Genomic DNA, 14,595 nt, shown 5'->3' with positions numbered 1-14,595 from the left:
CCTTCGGGGTGAGTCATGGTTCCTTAACATAAATTTCTCATCCATGGAGTTGACAACCTCTTTAATTTAGTGGACTCTTTCACTCTATTAAAGAAAGCAGTATAATATGCTGGAAGTTTCATGCAGTCCTCTGAGTAGCCATGAAACTGTTTATCAAGTCATTTGACATCACTAGTTTCTTCATCTGGAAAATGAAGAGTTTGGGTACCTGATATCTAAGGAACTCTGACTCTCTGATCAGCACATGGTAGGCCCTCAGATAACTGGTTAATAACTCAATAGCTAATGTCCAACACAGTGAATTAGCAATTATGTTTCTGGTCAAGATGTTTTTTACTGTGTGCTTAAATAGATCTATCAAAAGAAATCGGTCATTTTGTGGAAACATTTGTCTTCAACATATTTCCAGTAACAAGACCCATGGGAAATTATGTAGAAATGCACATATTAAACGTCTGAAGGACCTCATGATTCCATTCTTTAAATATGCAGATTGTTTTGATTATTTTATATTAACATAGAAAAATCATACTCAGGAGAGTTAAACCTGAACTCTCTGTATAAATAACTTATTCTGGATCTCTATTATTTGAGAAGCCAGATACACAAAGACTCAAACTTCTCAAACTTACAGACTTGTAAATTAGAGAGTACTCATTCACATTACAAAAAGGACTTTCTGCTTTACAAAAGGATTCATCCCCGCATTTCTTTAACTACAGGCCTGATAGATTTATACAATGCACATTTTCCTAGATGCTCTAAATTCACTGTTAGATCCTAGCTATTTTAACTAGTCCTATGGCGAGTCCTTTTGTTATGCAAATTCATCCCTCTAATTGATCTGTTTTGTATATTTGTAATTTTCTTTCCTGTAAATCTGAATTTGCTAAAGCACCCTATCCTTGTAAAAGAGGTCTCTGCATTTAAGTTCTTGGTTGCAAATGCAATGGACTCCCTGTTCAGGTAACATGGCAGAGTAGTTAGCCTGAAAATGTCAACTAAAAACATCTGAAAAATCTAGATTTTTTTTTTTTAATTTTTAATGCATTTCTGAACTAGAAGGAAAATAAATAGCTCTTCAGGGGACAGAGAATAATAGAGAACTGAAACTCACAGCAGTAAAGCCCAGATCTGACTCTTTGTCTACTCTGGGGAAGGGCTGTCTTAGGTAATCTAGAGGCTGATGTCTTAATATCCACTGTGAGGCAGGAGATAAGGTCGTCTGTCCCTACTCCTATAGGGAGTTGGAACAGAGACCACCAGAGTCTAGAACCTAGAGAAACTCCACTCTAAATAACAGCGTAAGTGTGAACTAATATGCCCATAGGTATAGGGAAATAACTGGGTAAGTTGTCTTCTCAGCCTCTGTTCAGAATGGCGAAATAGAGACTCTTCCTTGAGAACCCAGAACCACTGTCAAGTAACTCATTTTAAGTTTGGCTATTGGTCTAGAAAGCTCCAAAATGAAAAATTTACATTAAAATTAATCCAAAGCTGGAGATACTTCAAGGGTGGTAAAAGAAATAAACACAAAATATATCCGTAGATACATACCTTCAACTAAACTAGTGTAATATGGTTTTATACTATGTCAACCTAGCTAAACTGGAATTACATTCTCAGAATTTATTTCTTTGTGTGTTTCTCAATTTGGAGTAGGCCATAAAGCACATTGGTCTGGGAACTGAAGGGCACAAATGAAGAAGCCACCATTTTATACTCTGAAACTCAATATATGACACCAGGCATTGGCAATTTGCACATGTTGTCACTAATCTATTAACCCACCTTATTGACACTGAGAAGCACCTAGACCCACAGTTCTCCAGCTTCCAGTGGATTTCCTTCTTTGACTTCCTTCAGTCCTGGGCCAAGTGTATGTGCAACTTCAGGATGAAGGGTTCAAACTTCTCTGCAGGTCACTAACATTATTGAAGTTAGAGATCATGAGAGACAGAGTCAAATTCCAGTTTGTCCTGGTGGGCTCCATTTTGTCTTCTGGGGTTCCCGTCTGACCTTGTGGGTTCCAGTTTGTCCTTGCCCTTTCCTATTTCAAATCCAACTCTCATTCCTGATTGCCTTCCAGCTTATCTACAGTGACCCCAGGTCCAGTAAATACCACATGAAAAAGCAACAGCCTGACATGGACTTCTTAACCAGTTCCCCAATTGTACAAGGTCTAATTAAATCCACTATTCTATTTCATTCATGACGATCCGTTTTTCTGATCAACTCATGACTGGTACAAATGTGATTCTTTCAAATGAACTCAAAACAAATTATGAGTTTACATTCTAAAATTGTAAAACACATGAAGAATTTCTGCCATATCTTTTTTGAAGGGTCTTAGTATTCTCATTTGATTTACTTTTTCTGCTCAATCATTTTCTCAATCTATTATCCTCAAATAGAGCTTCTAATCATTTACATTTTAAAAATATCATATTAGAGGCAGATGAAGAGAAAATGTATGAATCGTATTCTGAGTTCTTTTAGGTGATGGTTAATCAGGTGCAGCACAGGGGACACAGGAAAGCCACAAGAAAACAAAGTTTATTATTACTTTCACAGGTTCTAGAGAGGGGGGTACCACATGCCATACAGAGTTACCGGGGAATCACCAGGTTTTGGTCAGGTGGCAGAAGACAGAAGTAAGAGGAAAACCAAAACTAGAATTTTATTGGAGCTTCCGTGGGACAGGAAGCGTGAGGGAGGGCAGGATAAACTTCTTAGAATTGGTTAGTTTGAATAATAACTGCAGGCTCTAAACTATAGAGATAGTCCCTAATTGCCTGGTACATGGCCCTGGGATGATTAAGACACAAGCATATTTTTCCCTGGGGGTGTACAGGCCACACAGAAGATACACAACTTGGTTAATTTGCAAATCTAAAGTACGCTCCTAACTGAGTCCTTTGCTATCTCTAAGAATTGGCTAGAGCCAGGAAGGGCGGTCTCTTTACAGCAAGAAAGGGTTTTTTAAGATGTCAAAACATCATAATATACAGAAAATTTAAAACATATAAAATACAAACTGGAAGATCAATTTAATGAAACTATCCCAAATTCAGCAAAAGATGCAAAATATAAGAGGATAAGGCTCAAATATGTCTATCCAATGACCAATCAATCTAATTCCTAGGAATACATCCCAGAGAAATTCTCAAAAGGGTCTATAAAACCCATGTAAAAGAATGTTTATTTGATCATTGTTTGCACAGCAGGAAGTTGGAAGTTCCCTGAGTTTCCAGCACTGAAGAGTGAATCAGGGAAATGCAATGACAGCACATTATATATTAAGATGCAGCAGTTAGAAGCAGTGAACTAGATAAATATACAGCAACATATATAGATCTTTAAAACAGAATGCTGAATATAGAAAGTGAGAAATAGGTACTTTAAAAATACATAATGTTCTTTAGTGGGTATATATTTTAATTTATACAACTGTGGTACTGTGCTGTTGCTTATTCTAACAAATACATTAGATTCCTATGGGAGAAGGAAAATATAAGTGGGAAATGAGAATAAAGAGGAATGATTAAACAAACAACCAAGGGAGAAATAGTACACCCACTGATAACAATAGTGTGCCATGAACTGAGCAACATGATTACCTCAATTCTCGGCACTGCAAGTAAAAACAAAACACAACAAATATATATATGTAATCTTTATATAATTAAATTAACTATAAATTAAAGTTATATATAATTTATATAGAAATTAAACTTACATATGATTAATTTTATATACACAGGCAATATGCATATAAATACACATGTATATATACTTTTATCTATAATATATACACAAAATATATGTAATATTCATATACAAATATATATATTATATATGTGTGTATGTGTGTGCATATTCACAGAGAGGTATATAGATATGTTAAAAAGAGACATAGAAGTAATGTTTAATCTATGTCTCATAAGAATTCCACATAGAGAATATTAAAAGAATGGGAGAAAAGTACACTTTAATTGATTTGATTAAAGTCAAGAATCCTAAATAGGGTAAATAAAAAGAAACTCACAACTAGAGCCATTACACAGTGCATCCTTGGTGAAACACAGAACATCAAAGACAAAGAGAATATCTAAAGAAGAAACAAAGACAAAGATATTACCTAAGAGAAGGAGGAAGAGCAGGAGGAGGAGGAAGAGCAGGAGGAGGAGGAAGAAGAAGAACCTTTCAATAACAACAATACAATTCAGAATAGAATTCAGTGTCTTCAAAGGATTTATACCCAGCTATCTAAAATTCAAGAATAAGAATGAAAAAGGGCATTGTCAGAAAAAGACTTTAAAACTTTGCTATTAGCTGAAGAACTGTGAAGACTGTAATTCAGAAATAAGAAAGCTGAACTCAAAGGAAAAAGTGAGAAGAAAGAGACAGTAGTGAGTAAAGAAACTGGTAAATATGTAAGTAAAACCAAATGAACATTGGCCATGTAAATCAAGAATGAAAAAAATAACCAATAACAGTGATATAAAAGCAGTATAGCAAACATTGGTATATTGGCCAACTATTATATAAAATATTAGACAACAATAATATGTAAAAACAGAAGGGGATTTATCCCAGGAATGTACGATAGTTTAACATTGGAAAAGTCTGTTATGTAATTCATTACATTAACAGATTAAAGGCCAAAAAATATGTATTACTATGTTAATACAAGCCTATGAACATCTGACAAAATTCAATACAGATTTACAGTAAAATTTTCTTAGTAAACTAGGAATTTAAGGAAAATTTCTTAGCCTAATTAAGTTTATGTATGAAAAACCTACTTAAGGAATGGTGGCTTATGCCTGTACTCCCAGTGACTCAGGAGGCTGAGGCAGGAAGATCCCTTGAGCCCAGGAGTTTGAGGCTGCAATGAACTATAACTACACCACTGCACTCCAGCCTGGACAACAGAGAGAGACCCCTGACTCTAAAAAAAAGAAAAGAAAACCCCACTTAAAAGAGAAACTTCAACATACCCTCGAAATTCAGTAACAAAACACAGATGGCCACTTTCAAAATTTTTTATTCAACATTGAACTAGAGTTCCTAGGTGACACGGCGGGGAAGTGAAAAGAAAGAAACAAAACATAATAAAATGTCAACTCCTGGGAAATAAACAGTATAGAGATTGTAAAGGAAGAAACAAAATAGTCATTATTCACAACGATACATAGTGTATATTAGTTAATGACAATATTAGCTGCTATGGCAGATAAACTTCAAATTTTCAGTGGCTTAACCCAATAGATTAATTTCCCATTCAAATTATAGTCCAATGTGGGAGTTCTCTGTTGTGCAGCCTTTCACATGATTACTCGTCTCACCTGTGACCCCCTTTAGATCCTGATCCTCTCCAACCAGCTGGTAAATGGTAAAACACAATGAAGGTTCAGTTGTGGGAAGTTTTATGGAATAGGTATAGCAATATTTCTGTCCACATTACATTTTCTAGAATTCAGTCCGTCACATGGCAAAACAACTGAGAGATGGGGAAACACGCTGTAACTGTGTGCCTGGGAAGAAGAGAATGGGTTTGGTAAGCATCTCCGTCTCTCCCATGTTGTCTAGGTAGAGTTCAAAAGAATCTATACACAAATTTCACATCTATTAGAAGACTTCAAAATTGGACATTGAAGGTTGGATATTTGCATAACATATGCACTGTCAGTTCACAGAAGAGAAAACTCAAATGATAAATAAACATATAAAAAGATGCTCCACATCACTAGTCATTAGAAAACTGTAAATTAAAACCACTGTATGAGATTATTTCGTACTATTTAGCTTATGAAAAATGTAAATGGTTGATAACACCAAGTTAGAATGTGCCAAAGCAGAAACTCTCATATATTACTTTTGATTGACACATATTTATTTTGATGTATCCACATGTGCAATCCAAGCTACAGCTATTTTGTGTCTTTAAAGAAACTTTATGCTCCACTAGTCCACACTGGTTGGTTATAAAATATCACCTTTATTGGGCAATTTTGTTTTCCTCATTTCAAAGTTCTTTCCCAAGGTGAAAGTCATAATGCTTTACTTTTATACCTTATTGTGGTGCCTATGATGTAACTGCACCTATACAGTATCATTCATTTGTCTTTCTTTTGAAAGACCCTTACTTTACCAGAAACTACTGATGCCTCTAAGCATGCCCCCAAATGAGAACCAATACTTAGATGTTTCTTACCACCCCCAAAAAACCATCCTCTGAAAGGTGAAAACTACCATTCAAATTCCTGTTATTCTGGAACTTCATTTTCTTATGTCTCATAAAGATTTTGAAGTCTATCCTCAAATAAATGTTACCAATTTCTAATGGCAGTAAGATTTGCTAAAATTATATTGATACTATATTTTTAAGAAAAAAAACTCTCCCAAGTCAATAAGTGTAAGGCATGCTACAATTTTGTGTCATGGGAACAACATGGGCTTTGGAAATGTAGACATGAATTGGAATTCTGGCTCTGACACTGACTAGTGTTGAGACTAGGCAAATTTCTTACCGTTTCTTACCTTCAGTTTTGACATCTGCAAAAATGGGGAAATTATATGACTCAGAGAGTTGTCATAAGGATTAAATTCAGCATATACAAAGTTTCTGGCATCATAGATATCATTAGATTTGAGCTCATGTCTCCTGCTCATATTCACTGAACATGCCACTGTTAAGTATGTTAAATTTTGTGTTTGTGTAGGTCTGACACTTAGCATTTGATGGTAATTTTTAGCTTACCATTCTCTCTTCTCCTGCACTTCTCTGCATTCTTTATATTTTGGAGATTGTTTTTCCAATCTCCAAAATTCAGATGAAAGAAACCATATTCTAATAAACCTGCTAATTAACAAGAACAAATCTTTCTACATGAGATGCCTTTATATCATTCATTCATTCTTTTAGCAAACCAAAGACAGTGTATATATGTTTTAATTCATGTGCCAAAAAAATGACCAATTAATTCTGCTTTAGATGGGAAAATAGTAAATTTAATATAAATTAATTTAAAATCACTAACAAATGCACATTTTAATCATTGGCTATAGGAAAAATATTACAACTGCAATTGAGACTGACACTACAGTTTCATCAGGTTTTTAATTTTAAACATCATGTCCCATATTTTAGTAAATCACTTATGTTTGGGCAGTATTTTGTCAATTGTAGTGTAATTAATCAGCCAAAGATTCTGTCAGTGTTTCCAGTTTCTGACTAGATAAAATTAATAACAGATAAAATACTTTTATGTTAGTAAAACAATAGAGAAATAGGCCAGTCACAAAAGGACAAATATTATATGATTCCATTTGTACAAGGTACCTAGAGTAGTCAATCTACAGAGACAGAAAGTAGAATGGTGACTGCTGAGGAAGGGAAAAATAGGAAGTTGGTGTTTAATGGGTACAGTTTCAACTGGGAATAGTGAAAAAGTGCCAGAGATGGATGATGGTGATGGTTGCATAACAGTGTAGATGTACTTAATGCCACAGAACTGTGCACTTAAAAGTAGTTAAAAAGGGAAAGTTTATGTTGTGTATATTTTACACCAAAAAAAAAAAGAAAGATGGAGAAATGTCCAAAGAGAAAATACAGTCTTTAAAACCACAACAAACATCAGGCATATTTGATTATATCAGCAAAATAGTTTCAATTTGATTATTCTGAATTCTTTTTCTGCTTTTTCACAACAGTATGACCCATAGTAACAAACTTTACTTTCTGAATATTGAAATTCTACAAGTTCTATTTTAAGGCCTTCTACAGTTCAACACTTTTAAATAATTTTGGGCAAAATCTCTCAAGTACAACTGAGCAGTGGTCATTTGAATGCTTTAGTTTTATTCCTGAATTCTCAAAATATTTGTAAAGATTGTTTTTATGTTAGAAAAATAGTCATTCATATAAAATTAATGCATATAAAGTCCGTAAAGAAACAGCTTGGTTTGGGAAAATATTTAGGAAAGCTTAGTTTGAGAAAATATTTAGAGTCACTATTGTCAAAATATGTAGTTGAGAATGACTTGATGTTGTAGCCAAACAACAAATCTGTTATTTTGCTTTATTACTGTGTATTTTTATTATATTTAAGTGTAGGATAATGTCAGTTTAAAGTATCTCTTTATCAGTTATTTCACATCATTTATTTCTTCAAAATACTTGCTTTGATCATTTGAATATCATCAGATTCTTCCAAACAATAGCTATAATGACTTGGCCACCAAATGTCAATCCCCTCAATGCCCTGTATCCTCTTTTCAAATTCTTACACAGTTTTAATTGACTTACTTAGAGTTATCTGTGACTCTAAATTACCAATTACCAATTTTATTAACTGCATGAGATGCATTTGAAATCAGAAAGCGTCCTTATATTTTAAATATATGTTATATAAATTTTGAATAGGTTTACAGCTGTTTTAAAAAATGATCAAATCTTTGGAGAAGCCAATGTTGAATAGAAAACTCACAACAATCTCAAAACTCTATGGAGCATTAAATAAGAGCATACAACCTCAAAGTGAAGATGCTAAGTGGTTTGTAAAGAGCACTTGTGACAAAACAGGCACAGGTGACATATGACACATAACGTTGGCTTCACTATGATTACATTCAGTCAAGTTTTGTCAACACTTTATTTCATAACTATATAGCAACATGTTGCCATATATAAAAATACTTTTTTTGTTTTGAGATGGAGTCTCACTCTGTTACCCAGGCTGGACTGCAGTGGCGCAATCTCAGTTCACTGCAACCTCTGCCTCCCGGGTTCAAATGATTCTCCTGCCTCAGCCTCCTGAGTAGCTGGGATTACAGGTGCCCTCTACTACATCCAGCTAATTTCTGTATTTTTAGTAGAGATGGGGTTTCACCATGTTGGCCAGGCTGGTTTGAACTCCTGACCTCAGGTGCTCTGCCTGTCTTGGCCTCCCAAAGTGCTGGGATTACAGGTGTGAGGCACTGTACCTAGCCTAAAGATACTCTTAGATTAACCATCAGTAAATGTGTTTCATGAGTAGAAGTGACACAGAATCTATACTGAGTTCATTCAATCTGATCCCAAGACCAAACCTAGTAATTCCAAAGGCAGTCCATAGAATATTACTTTGTATGGACCTAAGACGTCCTAATTGTAATTTGCTCTTCATGTTAAATATTCAATATTTCAAAACATAGACTTTAGGGAGTCAGCATCAAAATGTTATGGACTATTCTTCTCTTAGCCAGACCATATTTGATTGTCTCAATCATAATTAATAAGGTCAGGGCACCAACAGTAGTTTCCGTGTCTGGGGGAGGACCCTTCCTTGTAGATGGTGCCTACTATGTGTCCCCACATGACAGAAGGGGCAAACAAGCTCCCTTGGGCCTCTTTTAGAAGGATATTAATTCCATTCACAAGGGCTCCACCCTCATGACCTCATCACTTTGTAAATGCCCCACCTCTGAATGCCCACACATTTGAGATTAGATTTCAACATGTGAATTTTGGAGAGACACAAACATGCAGACCATAGCAGGCCCTTTATACTGTGACAATCAAAATGAGTGACTGAGTCATAAATCTCAGTCATCAAGGTTTATCGAGCCAGCTTGAGGGCATGTCCAGGAAAAACATAAGTCACAGATGCATCTATGGCTGTTTTTTCCAAAGAGGGTCTCAGGAAGTTTACTATTTGTACATTTTCCTTTAAAAAAGGTGGGGAGGGGACAGCAGTGAGACAAGTGATTACATACTAGTGAGACTAGTTCAACCTCCCATCCCGCCAAGGCCATGAACTCAGCTTCCCGAGTTTCTCTGGTAATCACCCAGCACTGTACACTGCACAGACCAGATCAATCCTCTGAGACCACAGTATTGCAGTGGAGAAAGAGTTCATTTGATATAAAGCTAACTCACGTGGGAGAACTGGAGTTATCATTCAAATCAGTCTCCCTGAAGGCTTGGAGCTTAGGGTTTTTGTGGACAATTTGGTGGGCAGGGGGCTAGGGAATGGGTGCCACTGATTGGTTAGGGATGGAATCATACTGGTATGGAAAACAGTCTTCGTATGCTGAGTCTACCTCTGGGTGAGGCCATAGGATCAATTGAGTCATGAATCACAAGTTCAGGTAGGATCAGTCTGGAAAACATCCCCCACAAAATACAATCTTGGGTTCTAACATAGCAATGTTAACTATAGGAGTAAATGGGAAGGTCACAAATCTTGTGACCTCTGGTCACATGATTCCTGATCTGTAAGGGCTGATAAAAACTATGCCTATCCTATCAGAATTCGGGCCTCTCTCATAATTTTAACCTTGTGCCTTTCCATTAGTTTTACAAAGGTGATTTAGTTTTGAGAAGGGCTATTATCATCTTTGTTTTAAGGTAAAACTATAAACTAAATTCCTCCCAAAGTGAGCTTGGCCTACACCCAGGAATGACCAAGGACAGCTTGGAAGTCAGAAGCAAGATGGAGTCAACTATGTTAGATTTCTCTTTGTGTAATAATTTTGCAAAGGCAGTTTCACCCTTGGCCAAGAGGGGAATCCATTCAGTTAGTTAGGAGCCTAGAATTTTTTTTTTATTTCTCAACCCCATCAAATACAATGTCCAAAGCATATTTAGATATTGCCCACAACCCCTTCAACTCTCTAACTAAAAGCAAGACTCTTTACTAAGTGATTCCTGGACATGGAACTTTAATTGCTCCCTTGGTGATTAAGATCAAAGGACAGGGAAAGTACCTGCAACCCTACAGCCAAGTCCCTGGGGCAGGCCCAGTTCCAGCAAGGGGAGAGGCAAGAACCCTTTTATTTTGTTCTCTGAAGCAATACTGTAGGCCAATGGTGAAACTGATCATAACCTCTTTCCATTTTGATTTTTCCCTTATTTGAGATAAAAATTATTTAAAAAGAGAGGCTTCGAGTATGGTTTTCTTGAGTTATGTAATCTCCTTCTTTTTTGTTTTTTTTGTTTGTTTGTTTGTTTGAGAGAGGGAAAGCCTCACTCTGTCACCCAGGCTGGAGTGCAGTGGCATGATCTCGGCTCACTGCAACCTCCACCTCCCGGCTTCAAGCAAGTCTCCTACCTCAGCCTCCCAAGTAGCTGAAATTACAGGCATGTGCCACCACGCCTGGTTAATTTTTGTATTTTTAGTAGAGGCAGGGTTTCGCCATGCTGGCTAGGCTGGTCTCGAACTTCTGATCTCAAGTGATCCACCCACCTCAGTCTCCCAAAGTGCTGGGATTACAGGCATGAGCCACTGCACCCAGACTGAATTATGTAGGCTCTTTCAGCAAATCTGAGTATACTTTACAAAAAGGTCTATCAATCATGGTATCCTACTTTGCTTACAAAACTCATCTGTTCATTTAAGAAGAAAAAAATAATGGCATAGCTATGTTAGGGGTGTCATGGGTTCTAACACAGAATTTTCTCAAAGATCCTTCATAGCAAATGTCTAACAAAGAAATTCATGTTAGCTGTAGTTTTCTGGTAAGTATAAGATTGTCCTTCCTGCAAATGAAGTTTTAATTGCTTTGAGGCCTTCATAAAACTCTACCTGAGATATCTATTAAAATAAACTGGTTTGTGAAGAACGAAGACTACCAATCATGTAAAGCCTGGTATAGTTCTATTAGGAAAATTTTTTCTCCTATTTAATTCTAGATGTTATTCAACAAGTGAGCTACTAAAGGAAGTGTTCAGTGTCATAGACTGAATGACCATAGATCTACAAACTTGAAGCTGTGTTTTTTTGTTTGTTTTTTGTTTTTTGGTTTGAGATGGAGTCTTGCTCTGTCACCCAGGCTAGAGTGCAGTGGCGTGATCTCAGCTCACTGCAAGCTCTACCTCCCAGGTTCACACCATTCTCCTGCCTCAGCCTCCCGAGTAGCTGGAACTACAGGTGCCTGCCACCACGCCAGGCTAATTTTTTGTATTTTTAATAGAGACGGTGTTTCATCGTGTTAGCCAGGATGGTCTAGATCGCCTGACCTCCTGATCCGCCCACCTCGGCCTCTCAAAGTGCTGGGATTACAGGCATGAGCCACTGCTCCCGGCCAAAGCCATTTTCTTAAGATCTTACTATTTTCCTTCAACATCTGGCACCCAGTTCTTTTTATTTTATTTTATTTTACACTCAGGGGTACAAGTGCGAGTTTGTTACATAGGTAAACCTCTGTCATGGGGGTTATCATACAGATTATTTCATCACCCAAGTATTAAGCCTAATACCCATTAAGTTATTTTTCATGATCTTCTCCCTCCTCCCATCCTCTGCCCTCCGAAAGGCCCCAGTGTGTGTTGTGTCCATGTGTTCTCATCGTTCAGTTCCCACTTATAAATGAGAACATGAGGTATTTGCTTTTCCGTTCCTGTGTTAGTTTTCTAATGATAATGGCCTCCAGCTCCATCCATGTCCCTGCAAAGGACATGATCTCATTCTTTTATATGGCTGCATAATATTCCATGGTGTATATGTACCACATTTTCTTTATCCAGTCTGTCATTCATGGGCATTTAGGTTGATTCCATGTCTTTGCTATTATGAATAGTGCTGCAATGAACATACACATGCAACGTGCACGTGTCTTTATAATAGAATGATTTATATTCCTTTGGGTATATAACCAGTAGTGGGATTGCTGGGTTGAGTGGTATTTCTGTCTTTAGGTCTTTGAGGAATGGCCACAGTGTCTTCCACAATGGCTGAACTAGTTTATACTCACACCAACGGTGTATAAGTGTTCCTTTTTCTCCACAACCTCACCAGCATCTGTTATTTTTTAACTTTATAGTAAGAGTCAGACTGGTGTAAGATGGTATCTTATTGTGGCTTTGATTTGAATTTCTTTAATGATCAGTGATGTTGAGCTTTTTTCATGTGATTGTTGGCCACATATATGTCTTCTTTTGAAAAGTATCTGTTCATGTCCTTTGCCCACTTTTTATGGAGTTGTTTGTATTTTTCTTGTAAATTTGTTTAAGTTCCTTATAGATGCTGGATATTAGACGTTTGTCAGATGCATACTTTGCACAATTTTCTACCATTATGTAAATTATCTGTTTACTCTGTTGATAGTTTCTTTTGCTGTGCATAAGCTCTTTAGCTTAAATTGTCCCCATTTGTCAATTTTTGCTTTTGTTGCAATTGCTTTTGACATCTTCATCATGAAATCTTTGCCCATGCCTATGTCCTGAATGGTATTGCCTAGGTTGTCTTCCAGGGTTTTTGTAGTTTTTGATTTCACATTTAAGTATTTAATTCATCTTGAGTTAGTTTTTGTATATCGTGTAAGGAAGGGATCCAGTTTCAATATTCTACATATGACTAGCCAGTTATCCCAGCACCATTTATTGAATAGGGAATCCTTTCCCCATTGTTTGTTTTTGTCAGGTTTGTCGAAGATCAGATAGTTGTAGGTGTGCAGTCTTATTTCTGGATTCTCTGTTCTGTTCCATTGGTCTCTGTGTCTGTTTTTGTGTCACTACCATGCTGTTTTGGTTACTGTAGCCCTGTAGTATAGTTTGAAATTGGGTAGCATGGTGCCTCCAGCTTTGTTCTTTTTGCCTAAGATTGTGTTGGCTATTCTGGATTTTTTTCTTTTTTTGGCTCCATATGAATTTTAAAATAGTTTTTTTCTAGTTCTGTGAGTGTCAATGGTAGTTTGATAGGAATAGTATTGAGTCTATAAATTGCTTTGGACAGTATGGCCACTTTAACAATATTGATTCTTCCTATCCATGAGCATGGATTGTTTTTCCCTTTGTTTGTATCATCTCTGATTTCTTTGGGCAGTGATTTGTAAGTCTGTAGTTCTCCTTATAGACATCTTTCACCACCCTACATAGCTGTATTCCTAGGTATTTTATTCTTTTTGTGGCAGTCGTGAATGAGAGTTCATGATTTGGCTCTCAGCTTGACTGTTGTTGGTGTATAGGAATGCTAGTGATTTTTGCACATTGATTTCGTATCCTGAGACTTTGCTGAAGTTGTTTATCAGCTTAAGAAGCTTTTGGACTGAGATTATGAGGTTTTCTAGATATACAGTCATGTCATCTGCAAACAAAGGTAGTTTGACTTCCTCTCTTCCTGTTTGGATGCGCTTTATTTCTTCCTCTTGCCTGATTGCCCTGTCCAGAACTTCCAATATTATGTTGAATAGGAGTGGTAAGAGAGGGCATCCTTGTCTTGTGGCACAGTTCTTAGGACATAGGAAATGCTTAATAAATGTGATAAACAGACTAATAAATTAAGGAATTATTGTTTATGTCTACTTCCCATATTATGTTGAATAGGAGTGGTAAGAGAGGGCATCCTTGTCTTGTGGCACAGTTCTTAAGACATAGGAAATGCTTAATAAGTGTGATAAACAGACTAATAAATTAAGGGATTATTGTTTATATCTACTCAGAATTAGAAAAGCAAAATTTTGTTGCCAAAATCCTCTAATGGAATGTGTCTGGGCACCCAGGATTAATGACTGTGTTATTGTTAGGCTTAGAGTTAGGCTAATTGCTACCTTACTTTCTGTAAGCCCCAGGATGGCTATTTTGGACTGTTGAAAATTATCATTTCCCCT

The 14,595-nt window shown here is 36.5% G+C and overlaps 1 protein-coding gene across 51 annotated transcripts in view; it reads left to right on the top strand.

Moving 5' to 3' along the window:
• The window catches only part of ANKS1B (ankyrin repeat and sterile alpha motif domain containing 1B), a 1,250,151-nt gene that overhangs the window by 957,278 nt on the left and 278,278 nt on the right, over window positions 1–14,595 (top strand). The gene's annotated exons all lie outside the window — the stretch shown is intronic.

Source organism: Homo sapiens, chromosome 12, assembly GCF_000001405.40.
Source record: "Homo sapiens chromosome 12, GRCh38.p14 Primary Assembly".
Lineage (NCBI taxonomy): Eukaryota > Metazoa > Chordata > Mammalia > Primates > Hominidae > Homo > Homo sapiens.
The sequence above is the reverse complement of the archived record's forward strand: the minus strand, read 5'-3'. Positions and strand labels throughout refer to the sequence as shown.